Source organism: Homo sapiens, chromosome 16 (genome assembly GCF_000001405.40).
Source record: "Homo sapiens chromosome 16, GRCh38.p14 Primary Assembly".
NCBI classification, from domain to species: domain Eukaryota; kingdom Metazoa; phylum Chordata; class Mammalia; order Primates; family Hominidae; genus Homo; species Homo sapiens.
In genome coordinates this window covers 70,618,131-70,636,894 of record NC_000016.10, presented here as the reverse complement: position 1 = coordinate 70,636,894, position 18,764 = coordinate 70,618,131, and the positions used below count along the sequence as shown (strand labels likewise).

Sequence of the window (18,764 nt, the reverse complement as noted above, 5' to 3'; positions counted from 1 at the left end):
AAAAAAATAAAATAAAATAGGGAAGGGGCAATAGGTGCTATTTAGAATCATGTTATGTTGTTATATTAGAGTATTCTTCTTCATTCTGTTTTGTTTTGTTTTTTGTTTTGTTTTGTTTTGTTTGTTTGAGACAGGGTTTCTCTCTGTTGCCAAGGCTGGAGTGCAGTGGCACAATCAGGCTCACTGCAGCCTCGAACTCCTGGGCTCAAGGCATCCTCCCACACTGCTAGGACCACAGGTACACTCAATCATGCCCAGCTAATTTTGTGTGTGTGTGTGTGTGTGTGTGTGTGTGTGTGTGTGTGTGTGACAGGGTTTGCTATGTTGTCCAGGCTGGTCTCAAGCTCCTGGTCTCAGCCTCCCCAAGTGCTGGGATTGTAGGCATGAGCCACGACACTATGTCAGAGTATTCATTTTTTACAGTTACTATCTATGTCAAGCAATGTGGATCTTCCATTTATGCTAGTGATACAAAGTTTCCTTTTTAAATAAATGTGGTTAAGTTTCTAGACTGTAAATGAACCAAAGGAAAACATGCAGGTATAAAATACAGACCCTGGGCCTGGCACAGTGGCTCACACCTGTAATCCCAGCACTTTGGGAGGCTGAGGCAGGGGGATCACTTGAGGCCAGGTGTTTGACACCAGCCTCAATATGGAGAAACTCTGTCTCTACTAAGAACACAAAAATTAGCTGGGCGTGGTGGCACACACCTGTAATCCCAGCTACTCAGGAGGCTGAGGCAAGAGAATTACTTGAACCTGGGAGGTGAAGGCTACATTGAGTTGAGATCATGCCACTGCACTCCAACCTGGGCAACAGAGCGAGACTGTCTCAAAAATAAAAATTAAAAAAAAAAAAAAAAGATACAGACCCTGAAGCTACACCTTTTGGGTTCAAACTCTGACTCCACCTTGCCTTGGGCAAGGTGAGGATCCTCTTTTGCCTCAGCCTCCCCATCTGTAAAATGGGCTTGATATGAGATTCTGACCTCAAAGGGCTATGTAAGGATTTACTGGATTTCTATATACAGAAAACTTAGAACATGAGCTGGCATACAGTACATGCTATCTTGGTATTTGCTATTGTTATAATTACTCACTCGTATTACTAATAGTAAAAAAATGGGTTTTGGAAAAACGTAGGCTTTTTCTTTTATATTTGAATCATTTCCCCTTTTGCTGTTGTTTTTGCACTATCAATAGAGGTCTGTGAGCAAAATACTTACTTGATTGTGAAAGAAGGCAAGAAAGAAACCCAGCGTGGGACCAGTCAATGGGACCCTTGAACACTGGAAACAGCTCCTGCTCAAGGAAGCTGCCGATGTTCTGCTGAAGGACTCCAGCTTCCGACCTCTGACCTCTGACCTCCAACCTCTGACCTGTGACTAGCAAGGGGACTCAAGAGCACAAGAACAGACTGTGGAGCATCCACACTGGTACTGGGACAGTAGACAAAGGGCCTCCAACAGGCCTTTGTGCTTCCTGAGAGCAGCAGGAGACAAAAGAAAACAAAGCAAAAACTAGCAGGGTAGGCTGCAGCAGCTGGAGGGTGTTTAGCTTGACAGCTCTGTGATGGAAACCTCTGCAGAGGGGTTATCCCCTCTATGGAGCAAAGAAAATATCTGTCGCCAAGAAAATCACTGTTTGAGTTCTCAGGATGCATGGTAATGGGGCCCTCCACGTTACCCTTGAGAGTATAAGCTGGGATTGTCATTTTGGAAGACTGGCGATTCTAACAAAGTTAAACACATACCTAGACTCTGACCCAGCAATCCCACTCCTAGAATTTAACCTAGAAAAATCAAACTCTATGGCCATAAGACGAATGACCAAGAATGCCTATTGCTGCTGTATTCATACTATGAATCATAGGCACTTCTAAAACTGAAAACCATCCAAATATCTGCCAACAGAAGACTGGACGTATGAACTGTGCCATAATCAGACAGTGGAATATTACTCTGAAATTAAAAGGAACTGCTGATCTGTGCAGCAACATGGATGAATCTCAAAAACATTATTTTGAGCAAAAGCAACCAGACACAAAAGCGTGCACACTACATAATTCCAGCTATTTGAATGCAAGAACAGGCCAATAAACTAATCTATGGTGATAGGTATCAGAACTGTGGCTATCCCAGGTGGCTGGTGGTGGTAAGGATCTGACTGGAAAGGGGCATTAGGGAACTTTGGAAATTTTTTTTTTTTTTTTTGATTCGGAATCTCGCTCTGTCGCCCAGGCTGGAGTTCAGTGACACGATCTCGGCTCACTGCAACCTCCGCCTCCTGGGTTCAAGGAATTCTCCTGCCTCAGCCTCCTGAGTACCTGGGATTATAGGCACGTGCCACCACACCCAGCTAATTTTTGTATTTTTAGTAGAGATGGGGTTTCACCTTGTTGGTCAGGCTGGTCTCGAACTCCTGACCTCAGGTGATCAGCCTGCCTTGGCCTCGCAAAGTGCTGGGATTACAGGCATGAGCCACTGCGCCCAGCCTGGAAATGTTCTATCTCTTCTTTGTTAGAGTGGTGGTCACATGGGTATATATAATTGTCAATAAAACATATCTGTACTGGGTTGAACAGTGCTGCCTGCCCCCAGTTCATATCTTACCTGGAATCTCAGAATATGACCTTGTTTGGAAACAGAGTATTTGCATACATCATTAGTCAAATTAGAGTGAGGTCATACCAGATTAGTAGGCCCAATACAATGACTGGTGTCCTGATAAGAAGAGAGAGATTGCAGGGCACGGTGGCTCACACCTGTAATCCCAGCATTTTGGGAGGCCGAGGCGGGCAGATCACTTGAGGTCAGGTGTTTGAGACTAGCCTGGCCAACATGGTGAAACCCCGTCTCTACTAAAAATACAAAAATTAGCTGGGCGTGGTGGTGCACGCCTGTAATTCCAGCTACTCCGGAGGCTGAGGCAGCAGAATCGCTTGAACCCAGGAGGCGGAGGTTGCAGTGAGCCAAGATCACGCCACCGCACTCCAGCCTGGGCGACAATGCGAGACTCTGTCTCAAAAAAAAAAAGAGAGAGACTCAGGGAGAAGACCACGTGATGATTGAGAAACTGCAGTGAGGTCCACAGGCCACACAGCACCAGGAATTGTACACCAGAACCTGGGAAGAGACAGGAAAAGATCCTCCCCTCAAGCCTTCACAGAGATCATGGGCTTGCCAACACCTTGATCTTGGATTTCTAGCCTCCAGATCTTTGACAGAATACATTTCTGTTGCTTTAAGCCACCAATTATGGTACTTTCTTACAGAAGCTCTGGGAAACTACTATACCACCCACCTGAACATTTAAGATTGTGTATTTTGGCCAGGCACAATGGTTCACACCTGGAATCCCAGCACTTTGGGAGGCCGAGGTTGGAGGATCATTTGAGGTCTGAAGTTTGAAACCAGACTGGGCAACATAGGGAGACCACGTCTCTAGAGAAAAAAATAATAATTTTTTTTAATTAGCCAGGCATGGTGGTGCTCACCTGTGGTCCCAGCTACTCAGGAGGCTGAGGCAGGTGGATCGCTTTAGCCTGGGAGGTCAAAGCTGCAGTGAGCCATGATCCTGTCACTGCACTCCAGCATGAGCAACAGAGTGAGACCCTGTCTTAAAAGAAAAAAAAAAATCAGTCTGGGCACTTGTAATCCCAGCACTTTGGGAAGCCAAGGAGGACAGATCACTTGAGCTCAGGAGTTTGAGACATGCCTGGGCAACATGGCGAAACCCTGTCTCTACTAAAAATACAAAAATTAGCCAGGCATGGTGGCATGCACCTGTGGTCTCAGCTGCTAAGGAGGCTAAGGTGGGAGGATCACTTGAGCCCAGGAGGTCGAGGCTGCAGTGAGCCATGGTTGTGCCTCTGCACCCCAGCATGGGTGACAGAGACGCTGTTTCAAAAAAAAATATGTCCTGATAAGACACATTTTAAGTAAGAATTTTATTTTAAGTAAGTTATACTCCAATTTTAACAATAGAAAATTGCTGGTTGGAAACAGCAAGCTGGTGACAAAGGCTCCAACCTGGCTCGTGCTTCATCAAATAAGACAAAACCCCCAAAAGAAGGCCAGCCCAATGCTACTCTGAATTCACCTTGAGAGGCAGTACTTGGCCACTGATCAGACAGATCCCTCCCCATAGCTCTCCCTTCTTGCTCATCTGTCACAAAAAAACTGTCCCTTCTGCCCACAGCAAAAATACCCCCTTCACTCTCTCAAACACAAACACCACATGGTCTCTGTGCAGCACCACCCCAGAGACCCACTTTGCAGATGCTCCATTGGAAAGCCACTGGCCCGCTTATAAGAGCACTCCCTTCCTTGGAGTTTAAGCCCTCAGGACCACCTGGTCAGGAGCCGAAAGCATTGGCCCAGCTCCTCTTCCCATTCATTCACAGATGTGTTCCCCAAAATGCCCACCTGAAGGAATCTTCAGCTCCATTCCTTTGGTTCCTATAGGCTAAACACCTACAAAAGGAGATTTTGTTTTTAACTTCATTATTTTGCTTCATGGTAGAAGCCTAGACCTTGAGAACAGGCCCGTCATTTGTCTAAGCACACCCTGCAGATATCTGCATGAGGATTAGGGTCAGCGAAGGTCAGAAATGGCCGCTGAATGCTAAGACCACCTGGCCCAATCCCTACAGCATGATCTCATCCCCACAGGCTCCTCCATATTCACTGGTGCTTACCATGTCCCAAGGAACTTTCAAGCATTAACTAATTGCCTCCCAACAAGGCTGGAGTTGGGAACTATTATCTTCTCTTTTTTTTTTTTTTTTTTGAGACAGGGTCTCACTCTATCACCCAGGCTGAAGTGCAGTGGCACGATCTCCACTCACTGCAGCCTTGACCTCCCCAGGCTCAGGTAATCCTCCTACCTCAGCCTCCCAAGTAGCTGGGATTACAGGTACACAACAGCACACTCAGCTAATTTTTTGTATTATAATTTTTTTTTTGTAGAGACAGGGTTTTGCCATGGTACCCAGGCTGGTCTTGAACTCCTGGGATCAATATTATTATCTTCTCTTACTGATGAGGAAATGAAGGACCAGAGGGATGAGGTAACTTGTCTGAGGTTACACACAACAGTAAGCTGCACAGCAGGGACCGTCTTAACCACTGGGCTATCCCGCCCAGTGTATACCTGCTTCTAGGGATTAAGTACCATATTCTCCAGTGACCAAGAACCTAAAGGTTTTTCTTTGTTACTGGCCAAAACTATTTTAACTTTTTTATTTTTCCACTCTTCTTGAGAAAAACTAGGGAAGTGAGTCCCAAGTTTAGTTTTATAACAGCCCAGAGACTCTAAAAGGTCATTGGGACATCCTCCAAAACATTATATAAACAAAGCTGAGTATAACAGGATAAAGATTCTTTGGTTTTGTTTTTAACATATTAAAAAAACATTTAATATGTTTTGTTTTGTTTTAAAAGTTAATAAAAACAAGAATAAATTGGAAAAGACTGTAGTTTTTTCTAACTCCATGGGAAAACCCAATTTCTATTCTCCCTGACAACAGAAAGGACTTTGAGCTGGGTTTCTCGAAGAGAATCAAACCAATAATTTACTGCAGGAAAGGAGACTTAGGCCTATGGGTACTGGCCCTGTCCATGTCCACAGACCATGTCCACAACAGTCCACAGTAGCTATTGGCTCAGTCAAAGGAGCTTCTCCAGCTGGGGGCACAAGACACTGGAAAAACCAAAGAGACTTTATTCCAAGAGTGCAAGGATGGTTCAATATAAGGAAACTTCTTAATATAACATAACACAGTCAGTCTTCTGCGTCCATGGATTTTGCATCTTCAGTTTCAACCAACCACAAATTGAAAATGTAGTTTAGGCTACCATATGATCCAGCAACTTCACTGCCAGGTATATACCCAAAAGAAAGGAAATCAGTATATTGAAGACATATCGGCACTCCCATGTTTATTGCAGCACTATTCACAATAGCCAAGATTTGGAAGCAAACTGAGTGCCCATCAGCAGATGAATAAAGAAAATGTGACCCGAGCTTGGTGGCTCACTCCTATAATCTCAACACTTTGGAAAACTGAGACCAGAGGATCACTTGAACCCAGGAGTTTGAGGCCAGCCTGGGCAACATGGCGAAACCCCGTCTCTACAAAAAAATATAAAAATTAGCCAGGCATGGTGGTGTGCCTGTAGTCACAGCTACTTGGGAAGCTGAGGTAGGAGGATCAATTGAGCCTGGGAGACTGAGGTTGCAGTGAGCCATGATTGCACTGATCATGCCTGGGTGACAGAATGAGACCCTACCTCAGAAAAAAAAAAGAAAAAAGAAAGAAGAGGAGAGGAGAGGGGAGGGGAGAGGAGGGGAAGGGAGGGGCCAGGCGCAGTGGTTCATTCCTGTAATCCCAGCACTTTGGGAGGCCGACGCTGGCAGATCACCTGAGGTCAGGAATTCGAGACCAGCCTGCCCAACATGGTGAAACCTCGTCTCTACTAAAAATACAAAACTTAGCCAGGCATGGTGGTGCACACCTGTAATCCCAGCTACTCGGGAGGTTGAGGCAGGAGAATCGCTGGGGAGGCAAATGTTGCAATAAGCAGAGATCACGTCAGTGCATTCCAGCCTGTGCGACAGAGAGACTCCATCTCCAAAAAAAATTAAAAAGAAAGAAGGAAAGAAAATGTAGAACATATACAGAATGGAGTACTATTCAGCCATTAAAAGAATGAGATCCTGTCATTTGTAACCACATGAGTTCATCATTATGTTAAGTGAAATAAGCCAGGCACAGAAAGATAAACATTACATATTTTCACTTGTATGTGGGTGCTAAAAATTAAAACAAACTCATGGAGATAGAGAGTAGAAGGACAGTTACCAGAGGCTGGAAGAATTGTTGCTGGGTGGGAGGAAGTGGAAATGATGGTTGGTTGGTACAAAAACATAGACAGAATGAATAAGAGCTAGTATTTGATAACACAACAGGGTGACTAGAGTCAATAATGTAATTGTACATTTTTTAATTACTGAAACAGTATAACTGAATCATAACACAAAAGATAAAAATGCTTGAGAAAATGGAGACCCCATGTACACTCATGTGATTATTAAGCATTGAATTCCCGTATCAAAATATCTCATGTACCCCATAAATATATATATCTACTATGTACGCACAAACATTTCAAATTAAAAAAAAAAAGAAAAAAATGTAGTGAGGTCTACAATGATTGTTTCTGTACTGAACATGTACAGACATTTTTCTTGTCATTACTCCCCAAACAATATAGTATAACAACTATTTATACAGTATCTACATTGTATTCGTTATTATAAGTAATTTAGAGATAATTTTAATTACACAGGAGGGTGTAAGTAGGTTATATGCAAATACTATGCCATTTTACATAAGGGACCTGAGCGTCCATGGATTTTGGTATCTTTGGGGGGTTCTGGAACCGGTTCCGCAAGTATACAAAAGGACAACTGTAGTAGGTTCTGGAGATCTGTAAATGTTAGATAAAAATCAGGAAAAGAAGGAATTGATGGATAATTACCTAACATGATAAAATACCTCAACCTCAGATAAAGGCCAGCATTTTGCATAACTTAGAATCACTAGAGGCATTCCCACTAAAGAAAGAAGCAATACAAGTATGCTCACTACCATTACACAGAAGGTAATAGCCAATGCAATTACATCAGCAAACAAAATTAGAGATACAAGAGTTAAATAGGAGGAGGTGAAGTTATTTCCACTTGTACATGAGATGATTATAAATCTAGAACATCCAAGAGAATCAACAAACTACTATAAACAATAGCCAGGGGCCAGGTACAGTGACTCATGCCTATAATCTCAGTGCTTTGGGAGGATCACTTGAGGCCAGGAGTTTGAGACCAGCCTGGGCAACATACCAAGACCCTGTCTATACATTAAAAATACAAAAGTTAGTTGGACACAATGGTACATGCTTGCTGTCCCAGCTCCTCGGGAGGCCGAGGTGGAAGGATCATTTGAACCCAGGAGTTCGAAGCTATAGTGAGCTGTGATTGAGCCACTGCACTTCAGCCTGGGCATACAGTAAGACCCTGTCTCAAAAAAAAAAAAAAAAAAAAGACCAGGTGTGATGGCTCATGCCTGTAATCCCAGGACTTTGGGAGGCCAAGGCGGGTGGATCAATTAAGGTCAGGAGTTCAAGACCAGCTTGGTCAACATGGTGAGACCCCATCTCTACTAAAAATACAAAAATTAGCCAGGCATGGTGGCGGGTGCCTGTAATCCCAGCTGCTTGGGAGGCTGAGGTAGGAGAATCGCTTGAACCCGCGAGCCGGAGATTGCAGTGAGCCAAGATCATACCATTGCATTCCAGCCTGGGCAACAGAGCAAGACTCTGTCTCAAAAAAAAAAATAAATAAATAAATAAATAAATAAAAACAAACCCACACACTAGCCAGTTAGAAAAGAGACCACTTACATAACAACAAAAAATGTAAAATACCTAGAAATAAACTTATCAAGAAATGTGCAAGATATATACTAAAAAACTGTAAACAATGCTAAAGGACACAGAAGAGTTAAACAAATGGAAAAAGATATACTGTGTTCTTGGATGGGAAGATTTAACATCATAAGTAGGTCCAATTCTCTGAAGTTAATGTATAAATTTAAAGCAATCCCAATGCATTTCACAAGACAGTATATTTAAATGGCCAATAAATATATAATAAGGTGCTCGACCACAATTAATTACCACTACACACACACCCTAGAGTGAATAAAATTAAAAAGACCAAAAAAATCCAAGTGTTGCAACAATGTAGAATAATTGGAATTCTCAGACATTTCTGGAAGGAAGGTAAATTGTCACATATCTACTTGGAGAACAGTTTGGCAGTATTTTCTGAAATTGAACGTGTGCATATCCCACAGCTTAGCAATTTCTTTCGTAAGTAAATATCCAACAGAAATCTGTATACATGGGCACCAAAAGCCATGTGTTACAATATTCATGGCATGTGGATAAATAAACCTCACAAATAAAATGTTGAGCAAAAGAAACCAGATACAAAAGAATACACGTGTTTAAAGTTTTTTAAAAAAACACAGCAAAACCAATCTGTGACAAGAAATAAGGGCCAGGCACACTGGCTCACACCTGCAACCCCACCACTTTGGGATCTGAAGTAGGCAGATCTCTTGAGCCCTGGAGCTCGAGACCAGCTTGGACAACATAGTGAGATCCCATCTCTACAAAAAAATAAAAAGATTAGCCAGGTATGGTGGCTTGTGCCTGTAGTCCCAGCTACTTGGGAGGACTGCTTGAGTCCAGGAGACAGAGGCTGCAGTGAGCCTAGATAGCACCACTGTGCTCTAGCCTGGGTAACAGAGAGAAAGCCTGTCTCAAAGAAAGAGAAAGAAAAAGAAGAGGGGAGGGAAGGGGGAGGAGGGGGAGGGGAGCGGAGGGGGAGGGGAGAGGAGGGATGCACCTTTGGAGGGAGGGAGGGATAGTGAGTGTTTGGGGATCTGGTGGGGGGCTTCTACACGCTGGTAATAGTTGCAAGGGTGTGTTCACTTTGTGATAGCTCATCAAGCTGTATACTTCCAATTTATTTACTTTGCTATATGTGTGTTATACTTCAGCTTTCCTGTGTGTTTGTGTAATTAGATATTAGATGTTAAAGTTCAAATGGAAAAAAATGAGCAAGAATAGCCTGAAAGAGCTCAACATATAAGGGGAAGAACATCCCTTTCATATATTAAAATATATTTTTTAGGGCCAGGCTTAGTGGCTCAGGCCTGTAATCCCAGCACTTTGGGAGGCTGAGGTGGAAGGATCCCCTGAGTCCAGAAGTTCAAGACCAGCCTGGGCAACATAGGGAGACCCTGTCTCTATAAGAAACATATATATTTTTAAATATTATCAACCTTAATAAACAAAACAGTGGGAACTTGAATGAACATGAACAGAAAGAGAAACTAATGGAAAAGAGTAGCAAGTTCTGAAATAGACTCAAATACATACAGAGAAAAGAGCTCATGATAAATGGCTTATGATAAAATAGCTTCTCAATTTAGCTGAAAAAAGTCATCTGGAAGAAAAAATAAAATTAGACCTACTCCTCAAAGCACACATCAGGATAAATTCCAAAAGGATCAAAATTTGAATATAAAATAATAGAAGAAAACATAGGAGACATCATGTTTTTGGCCGGGTGTGGTGGCTCACACCTGGAATCCCAGCACTTTGGGAGGCTGAGGTGGGCAGATCACCTGAGGTCAGGAGTTCCAGACCAGCCTGATCAACATGGTGAAACCCCATCTCCACTAAAAATACAAAATTAGCCGGGCGTGGTGGCGCATGCCTGTAATCCCAGCTACTCGGGAGGCTGAGGCAGGACAATCACTTGAACCTGGGAGGCAGAGGTTGCAGTGAGCCAGGATTGCACCATTCCATTCCAGCCTGGGCAACAAAAGCAAAACTCTGATTCAAAAAAACAAAAACAAAAACAAACAAACCCACACACATCGTGTTTTCTTAAAGTGGGAAGGTTTTGGTACCTATGATTAAACATTCAGAAACCATAAAAGACTGATAAATTTGACTCCATAGAAATAAAAACTTGTATATACTAAAACAAAAAATTAATAAAATAAAAGAGACACACTAAACTGAATGCAATTTATATCAAAGGCACAAAAGACTGATCTCACTAATATGTAAACAGCTCATAGAAATAAAAAAGAAAAAGCCAACAATGTAATTTTAAAAATAAGCAAAACAGGCTGACTCTCTTTTTGGACTCAGCCCACCTGCACCCAGGTGAAATAAACAGCCATGTTGGTCACACAAAGCCTGTGTGGTGGTCTCTTCTCATGGACGCGCATGAAATTCGGTGCCGTGACTCGGATCGGGGGACCTCCCTTGGGAGATCAATCCCCTGTCCTCCTGCTCTTTGCTCTGTGAGAAAGATCCACCTACCACCTCAGGTCCTTAGACAGACAAGCCCAAGAAACATCTCACCAATTTCAAATCCGGTAAGTGGCCACTTTTTACTCTCTTTTCCAATCTCCCTCACTATCCCTCAACCTCTTTCTCCTTTCAATCTTGGCGTCACACTTCAATCTCTCCCTTCTCTTAATTTCAATTCCTTTCATTTTCTGGGAGAGACAAAGCAGACACGTTTTATCGGTGGACCCAAAACTCCAGCGCCTGTCACGGACTGGGAAGGCAGCCTTCCCTTGGTGTTTAATCATTGCAGGGACACCTCTCTGATTATTCACCCACGTTTCAAAGGTGTCAGACCACGCAGGGATGCCTGCCTTGGTCCTTCACCCTTAGCAGCAAGTCCCGCTTTTCTGGGGGAGGGGCAAGTTCCCCAACTCCTTCTCTCCCTCTCTACCCCTTCTCTGCTTTTCTGGGGAAGGGGCAAGTACCCCTCAACCCCTTCTCCTTCGCCCTTAGCGGCAAGTCCCGCTTTTCTAGGGGGCAAGAACCCCCAATCCCTTATTTCCGCACCCCAACCTCTTATTTCTGTGCCCCAATCCCTTATTTCCATGCCCCGACCCCCCTTCCCACTTTTCTGGAGGGTAAGAACCCCCGAACCCCTTCCCTCCATATCTCTATGCTCTCTTTTCTCTGGGTTTGCCTCCTTCACTATGGGCAACCTTCCACCATCCATTCCTCCTTCTCCCTTAGCCTGACTTCTCACGAACTTAAAACCTCTTCAACTCACACCTGACCTAAAACCTAAACGCCTTATTTTCTTCTGCAATGCTGCTTGACCCCAATACAAACTCAACAGTAGTTCCAAATAGCCAAAAAATGGCACTTTGAATTTTTCCATCCTGCAAAATCTAAATAATTCTTGCTGTAAAATAGACAAATGGTCTGAGGTGCCTGATGTCCAGGCATTCTTTTACACATCAGTCCCTTCCTAGTCTCTGTGCCCAATGCAACTCGTACCAAATCTTCCTTCTTTCCCTCCCGCCTGTCCCCTCAGTCCCAACCCCAAGCGTCACTGAGTCTTTCTAATCTTCCTTTTCTACAGACCCATCTGACCTCTCCCCTCCTCTCCAGGCCAAGCTAGGTCCCAATTCTTCCTCAGCCTCCCCTCCTCCACCCTATAATCCTTTTATCACCTCCCCTCCTCACACCCTGTCTGGCTTATAGTTTCGTTCAGTGACTAGCCCTTCCCCACCTGTCCAGCAATTTATTCTTAAAAAGGTGGCTGAAGCTAAAGGCATAGTCAAGGTGAATGCTCCTTTTTCTTTATCCCAAATCAGATAGCGTTTAGGCTCTTTTTCATCAAATATAAAAATCCAGCCCAGTTCATGACTTGTTTGGCTGCAACCTTGAGACGCTTTACAGCCCTAGACCCTAAAAGGTCAAAAGGCCATCTTATTCTCAAAATACATTTTATTACCCAATGTGCTCCCGACATTAAATAAAATTCCAAAAATTGGAATCTGGCCCTCAAACCCCACAACAGGATTTAATTAACCTCACCTTCAAGGTGTACAGTAACAGAAAAAAAGTTGCAATTCCTTGCCTCCACTGTGAGACAAACCCCAGCCACATCTCCAGCACACAAGAACTTCCAAATGCCTGAACCACAGCAGCCAGGTATTCCTCCAGAACCTCCTTCCCCAGGAGCTTGCTACACGTGCCGGAAATCTGGCCACTGGGCCAAGGAATGCCGGCAGCCCGGGATTCCTCCTAAGCCGCGTCCCATCTGTGTGGGACCCCACTGAAAATCGGACTGTTCAACTCACCTGGCAGCCACTCCCAGAGCCCCTGGAACTCTGGCCCAAGGCTCTCTGACTGACTCCTTCTCGGCTTAGCGGCTGAAGACTGACGCTGCCTGATCACCTCGAAAGCCCCGTAGACCATCACAGACGCCGAGCTTCGAGTAACTCTCACAGTGGAAGGTAAGTCCGTCGCCTTAATCAATACGGAGGCTACCCACTCCACATTACCTTCTTTTCAAGGGCCTGTTTCCCTTGCCTCCATAACTGTTGTGAGTATTGACGGCCAGGCTTCTAAACCTCTTAGAACTCCCCAACTCTGGTGCCAACTTAGATGATACTCTTTTAAGCACTCCTTTTAGTTATCCCCACCTGCCCAGTTCCCTTATTAGGCCGAGACACTTTAACTAAATTATCTGCTTCCCTGACTATTCCTGGACTACAGCTACATCTCATTGCCACCCTTCTTCCCAATCCAAAGCCTCCTTTGCATCCTCCTCTTGTATTCCCCCACCTTAACCCACAAGTATAAGATACCTCTACTCCCTCCTTGGCGACTGATCATGCACCCCTTACCATCTCATTAAAACCTTATCACCCTTACCCTGTTCAATGCCAATATCCCATCCCACAGCATGCTTTGAAAGGATTAAAGCCTGTTATCACTCGCCTGCTACAGCATGGCCTTTTAAAGCCTATAAACTCTCCTTACAATTCCCCCATTTTGCCTGTCCTAAAACCAGACAAGCCTTACAAGTTAGTTCAGGATCTGTGCCTTATCAACCAAATTGTTTTGCCTATCCACCCTATGGTGTCAAACCCATATACTCTCCTATCCTCCATACCTCCCTCCACAATCCATTATTATGTTCTGGATCTCAAGCATGCTTTCTTTACTATTCCTTTGCTCCCATCATCCCAGCCTCTCTTCGCTTTCACTTGGACTGACCCTGACACCCATTAGGCTCAGCAAATTACCTGGGCTGTACTGCTGCAAGGCGTCACAGACAGCCCCCATTACTTCAATCAAGCCCAAATTTCATCCTCATCTGTTACCTATCTCAGCATAATTCTTCATAAAAACACAGGTGCTCCCCCTGCTGCTCGTGTCCGATTAATCCCCCAAACCTCAATCCCTTACAAAACAACTCCTTTTCTTCCTAGGTATGGTTAGTGTGGTCAGAATTCTTATACAAGAGCCAGGACCGCACCCTGTAGCCTTTCTGTCCAAACAATTTGACCTTAATGTTTTAGCCTAGCCCTCATGTCTGCATACAGCGGGTGCCGCTGCATTAATACTTTTAGAGGCCCTAAAAATCGCAAACTATGCTCAACTCACTCTCTACATTTCTCATAACTTCCAAAATCTATTTTCTTCCTCATACCTGAAGCATATACTTTCTGCTCCCCGGCTCCTTCAGCTGTACTCACTCTTTAAGTCCCACAATTACCATTGTTCCTGGCCCGGACTTCAATCTGGCCCCCCACATTATTCCTGATACCACACCTGACCCCCATGACTGTATCTCTCTGATCCACCTGACATTAACCCCATTTCCCCAAATTTCCTTCTTTCCTGTTCCTCACCCTGATCACGCTTGATTTATTGATGGCAGTTCCACCAGGCCTAATCGCCACACACCAGCAAAGGCAGGCTATGCTATAGTACAAGCCACTAGCCCGCCTCTCAGAACCTCTCATTTCCTTTCCATCGTGGAAATCTATCCTCAAGGAAATAACTTCTCGGTGTTCCATCTGCTGTTCTACTACTCCTCAGGGATTATTCAGGCCTCCTCCCTTCCCTACACATCAAGCTCAGGGATTTGCCCCCGCCCAGGACTGGCAAATTAGCTTTATTCAACATGCCCTGAGTCAGATAACTAAAATAACTTTTAGTCTAAATAGACACTTTCACTGAATAAGCAAAGACCTTTCCTACAGGGTCTGAGAAGGCCACCACAGTCATTTTTTCCCTTTTGTCAGACATAATTCCTCAGTTTAGCCTTCCCCCCTCTATACAGTCTGATAACAGACCAGCCTTTATTAGTCAAATCAGCCAAGCAGTTTTTCAGGCTCTTAGTATTCAGTGAAACCTGTCAGGCCTCTGAGCCCAAGCCAAGCCATCACATCCCCTGTGACTTGCACGTATATACGCCCAGATGGCCTGAAGTAACTGAAGAATCACAAAAGAAGTGAATATGCCCTGCCCCCCCTTAACTGATGACATTCCACCACAAAAGAAGTGTAAATGGCCGGTCCTTGCCTTAACTGATGACATTACCTTGTGAAAGTCCTTCTCCTGGCTCATCCTGGCTCAAAAACACCCCCACTGAGCACCTTGCGACCCCCACTCCTGCCCGCCAGAGAACAAACCCTCTTTGACTGTAATTTTCCTTTACCTACCCAAATCCTATAAAACGGCCCCACCCTTATCTCCCTTCACTGACTCTCTTTTCGGACTCAGCCTGCCTGCACCCAGGTGAAATAAACAGCCATGTTGCTCACACAAAGCCTGTTTGATGGTCTCTTCACACGGACGCGCATGAAATTTGGTGCCATGACTCGGATCGGGGGACCTCCCTTGGGAGATCAATCCCCTGTCCTCCTGTTCTTTGCTCCATGAGAAAGATCCACCTACGACCTCAGGTCCTCAGACCGACCAGCCCAAGGAATATCACCAATTTTAAATCAGGTAAGCGGCCCCTTCTTACTCTTCTCCAACCTCTCTCACTGTCCCTCAACCACTTTCTTCTTTCCACTCTTCAATCTCTCCCTTCTCTTAATTTCAATTCCTTTCATTTTCTGGGAGAGACGAAGGAGACATGTTTTATCCGTGGACCCAAAACTCCGGTGCCAGTCACGGACTGGGAAGGCAGCCTTCCCTTGGTGTTTAATCATTGCAGGGACGCCTCTCTGATTATACAGGCACGCTTCAAGGGTGTCAGACCATGCAGGGACGCCTGCCTTGGTCCTTCAACCTTAGCGGCAAGTCCTGCTTTCCTGGGGCAGGGGCAAGTACCCCTCAACCCCTTCTCCTTCACCCTTAGCGACAAGTCCCGCTTTCCTAGGGGGCAAGAACCCCCTAATTGCTTATTTCCACACCCAAACTCTTATCTCTGTGTCTCAATCCCTTATTTCCGTGCCCCAACCCCTTCTCTGCTTTTCTGGAGGGCAAGAACCCTCCACCCCTTCTCCGTGTCTCTACTCTTTTCTCTGGGCTTGCCTCCTTCACTATACGTAAGATTCCACATTCCATTCCTCCTTCTTCTCCCTTAGCCTGTGTTCTCAAAAACTTAAAACCTCTTCAACTCACACCTGACCTAAAACCTAAGTGCCTTTTCTTCTGCAATGCCCCTTGATCCCAATACAAACTCGACAGTAGTTCCAAATAGCCAGAAAATAGCACTTTGAATTTTTCCATCCTGCAAATCTAAATAATTCTTGTTGTAAAATACGCAGAAGGTCTGAGGTGCCTGACGTCCAGGCATTCTTTTACACATCAGTCCCTTCCTAGTCTCTGTGCCCAATGCAACTCGTACCAAATCTTCCTTCTTTCCCTCCCGCCTGTCCCCTCAGTCCCAACCCCAAGTGTCGCTGAGTCTTTCTAATCTTCCTTTTCTACAGACCCATCTGACCTCTCCCCTCCTCGCCAGGCTGAGCTAGGTCCCAATTCTTCCTCAGCCTCCGCTCCTCCACCCTATCTTTTTATCACCTCCCCTCCTCACACCTGGTGGGGCTTACAGTTTCGTTGCGTGACTAGCCCTCCCCCACCTGCCCAGCAATTCACTCTTAAAAAGGTGGCTGGAGCCAAAGGCATAGTCAAGGTGAATGCTCCTTTTTCTTTATCCCAAATCAGATAGCGTTTAGGCTCTTTTTCATCAAGTATAAAAATCCAGCCCAGTTCATGTCTTGTTTGGCTGCAACCTTGAGACGCTTTACAGCCCTAGACCCTAAAAGGTCAAAAGGCCATCTTATTCTCAAAATACATTTTATTACCCAATGTGCTCCCGACATTAAATAAAACTCCAAAAATTAAATTCCAGCCCTGAAACCCCACAACAGGATTTAATTAACCTCGCCTTCAAGGTGTACAATAATAGAAAAAAGTTGCAATTCCTTGCCTCCACTGTGAGACAAACCCCAGCCACATCTCCAGCACACAAGAACTTCCAAACTCCTGAACCGCAGCGGCCAGGCGTTCCTCCAGAACCTCCTCCCACAGGAGCTTGCTACATGTGCTGGAAATCTGGCCACTGGGCCAAGGAATGCCGGCAGCCCGGGATTCCTCCTAAGCCGCGTCCCATCTGTGTGGGACCCCACTGAAAATCGGACTGTTCAACTCACCTGGCAGCCACTCCCAGAGCCCCTGGAACTCTGGCCCAAGGCTCTCTGACTGACTCCTTCCCAGATCTTCTCGGCTTAGCGGCTGAAGACTGACACTGCCCGATCGCCTCGAAAGCCCTGTAGACCATCACAGACGCTGAGCTTCGAGTAACTCTCACAGTGGAAGGTAAGCCCTTTCCCTTCTTAATCAATACGGAGGCTACCCACTCCACATTACCTTCTTTTCAAGGGCCTGTTTCCCTTGCCTCCATAACTGTTGTGGGTATTGACGGCCAGGCTTCTAAACCTCTTAAAACTCCCCAACTCTGGTGCCAACTTAGGCAATACTCTTTTAAGCACTCCTTTTTAGTTATCCCCACCTGCCCAGTTCCCTTATTAGGCCGAGATACTCTAACTAAATTATCTGCTTCCCTGACTATTCCTGGACTACAGCTATATCTCATTGCCACCCTTCTTCCCAATCCAAAGCCTCCTTTGCGTCTCCTCTTGTATTCCCCCACCTTAACCCACAAGATACCTCTACTCCCTCCTTGGCGACCGATCATGCACCCCTTACCATCTCATTAAAACCTAATCACCCTTACCCCACTCAACGCCAATATCCCATCCCGCAGCACGCTTTAAAAAGATTAAAGCCTGTTATCACTCGTCTGCTACAGCATGGCCTTTTAAAGCCTATAAACTCCTTACAATTCCCCCATTTTACCTGTCCTAAAACCAGACAAGCCTTACAAGTTAGTTCAGGATCTATGCCTTATCAACCAAATTGTTTTGCCTATCCACCCCGTGGTGCCAAACCCATATACTCTCCTATCCTCAATACCTGCCTCTATAACCCATTATTCTGTTCTACATCTCAAACATGCTTTCTTTACTATTCCTTTGCACCGTTAATCCCAGCCTCTCTTCACTTTCACTTGGACTGACCCTGACCCCCATCAAGCTCAGCAAATTACCTAGGCTGTACTGCTGCAAAGCTTCACAGACAGCCCCCATTACTTCAATCAAGCCCAAATTTCTTCCTCATCTGTTACCTATCTCTGCATAATTCTCATAAAAACACACGTGATCTCCCTGTCCGACTGATCTCTCAAACCCCAGCACCTTCTACAAAACAATTCCTTTCCTCCCTAGGCATGGTTAGCGTGGTCAGAATTCTTACACAAGAGCCAGGACCACACCCTGTAACCTTTCTGTCCAAACAACTTGACCTTACTGTTTTAGCCTAGCCCTCATGTCTGCGTGCAGCGGCTGCCGCTGCATTAATACTTTTAGAGGCCCTCAAAATCACAAACTATGCTCAACTCACTCTCTACATTTCTCATAACTTCCAAAATCTATTTTCTTCCTCATACCTGACGCATATAATTTCTGCTTCCCGGCTCCTTCAGCTATACTCACTCTTTGTTGAGTCTCCCACAATTACCGTTGTTCCTGGCCCAGACTTCAATCCGGCCTCCCACATTATTCCTGATACCACACCTGACCCCCATGACTGTATCTCTCAGATCCACCTGACATTAACCCCATTTCCCCAAATTTCCTTCTTTCCTGTTCCTCACCCTGATCACGCTTGATTTATTGATGGAGGTTCCACCAGGCCTAATCACCACACACCAGCAAAGGCAGGCTATGCTATAGTACAAGCCACTAGCCCGCCTCCTAGAACCTCTCATTTCCTT

General features: G+C 45.0%; 1 protein-coding gene across 9 annotated transcripts in view, besides 2 other annotated features; it reads right to left on the bottom strand.

Moving 5' to 3' along the window:
• IL34 (interleukin 34) overlaps positions 1-18,764 on the bottom strand; it is an 80,784-nt gene that overhangs the window by 23,788 nt on the left and 38,232 nt on the right. Inside the window, exon 1 of one of the 9 annotated variants that reach the window (NM_001172772.2) lies at positions 12,766-12,903. The exons of the other annotated variants lie outside the window; for them this stretch is intronic. The gene's annotated coding sequence lies outside the window, so the exon portion shown is untranslated. Of the gene's footprint in view, positions 1-12,765; positions 12,904-18,764 lie in introns of those variants that run through there. 9 annotated transcript variants of the gene reach the window in all.
• Positions 14,320-14,867: an enhancer, noted in NCBI's record as "OCT4-NANOG-H3K27ac hESC enhancer chr16:70655931-70656478 (GRCh37/hg19 assembly coordinates)". NCBI's record gives its function as "activates a minimal SCP1, AML or CMV promoter by ChIP-STARR-seq in naive and primed H9 embryonic stem cells {active_cell/tissue: H9 hESC(naive and primed)}" and the evidence as "EXISTENCE:reporter gene assay evidence [ECO:0000049][PMID:30033119]".
• Positions 14,868-15,415: an enhancer, noted in NCBI's record as "OCT4-NANOG-H3K27ac-H3K4me1 hESC enhancer chr16:70655383-70655930 (GRCh37/hg19 assembly coordinates)". NCBI's record gives its function as "activates a minimal SCP1, AML or CMV promoter by ChIP-STARR-seq in naive and primed H9 embryonic stem cells {active_cell/tissue: H9 hESC(naive and primed)}" and the evidence as "EXISTENCE:reporter gene assay evidence [ECO:0000049][PMID:30033119]".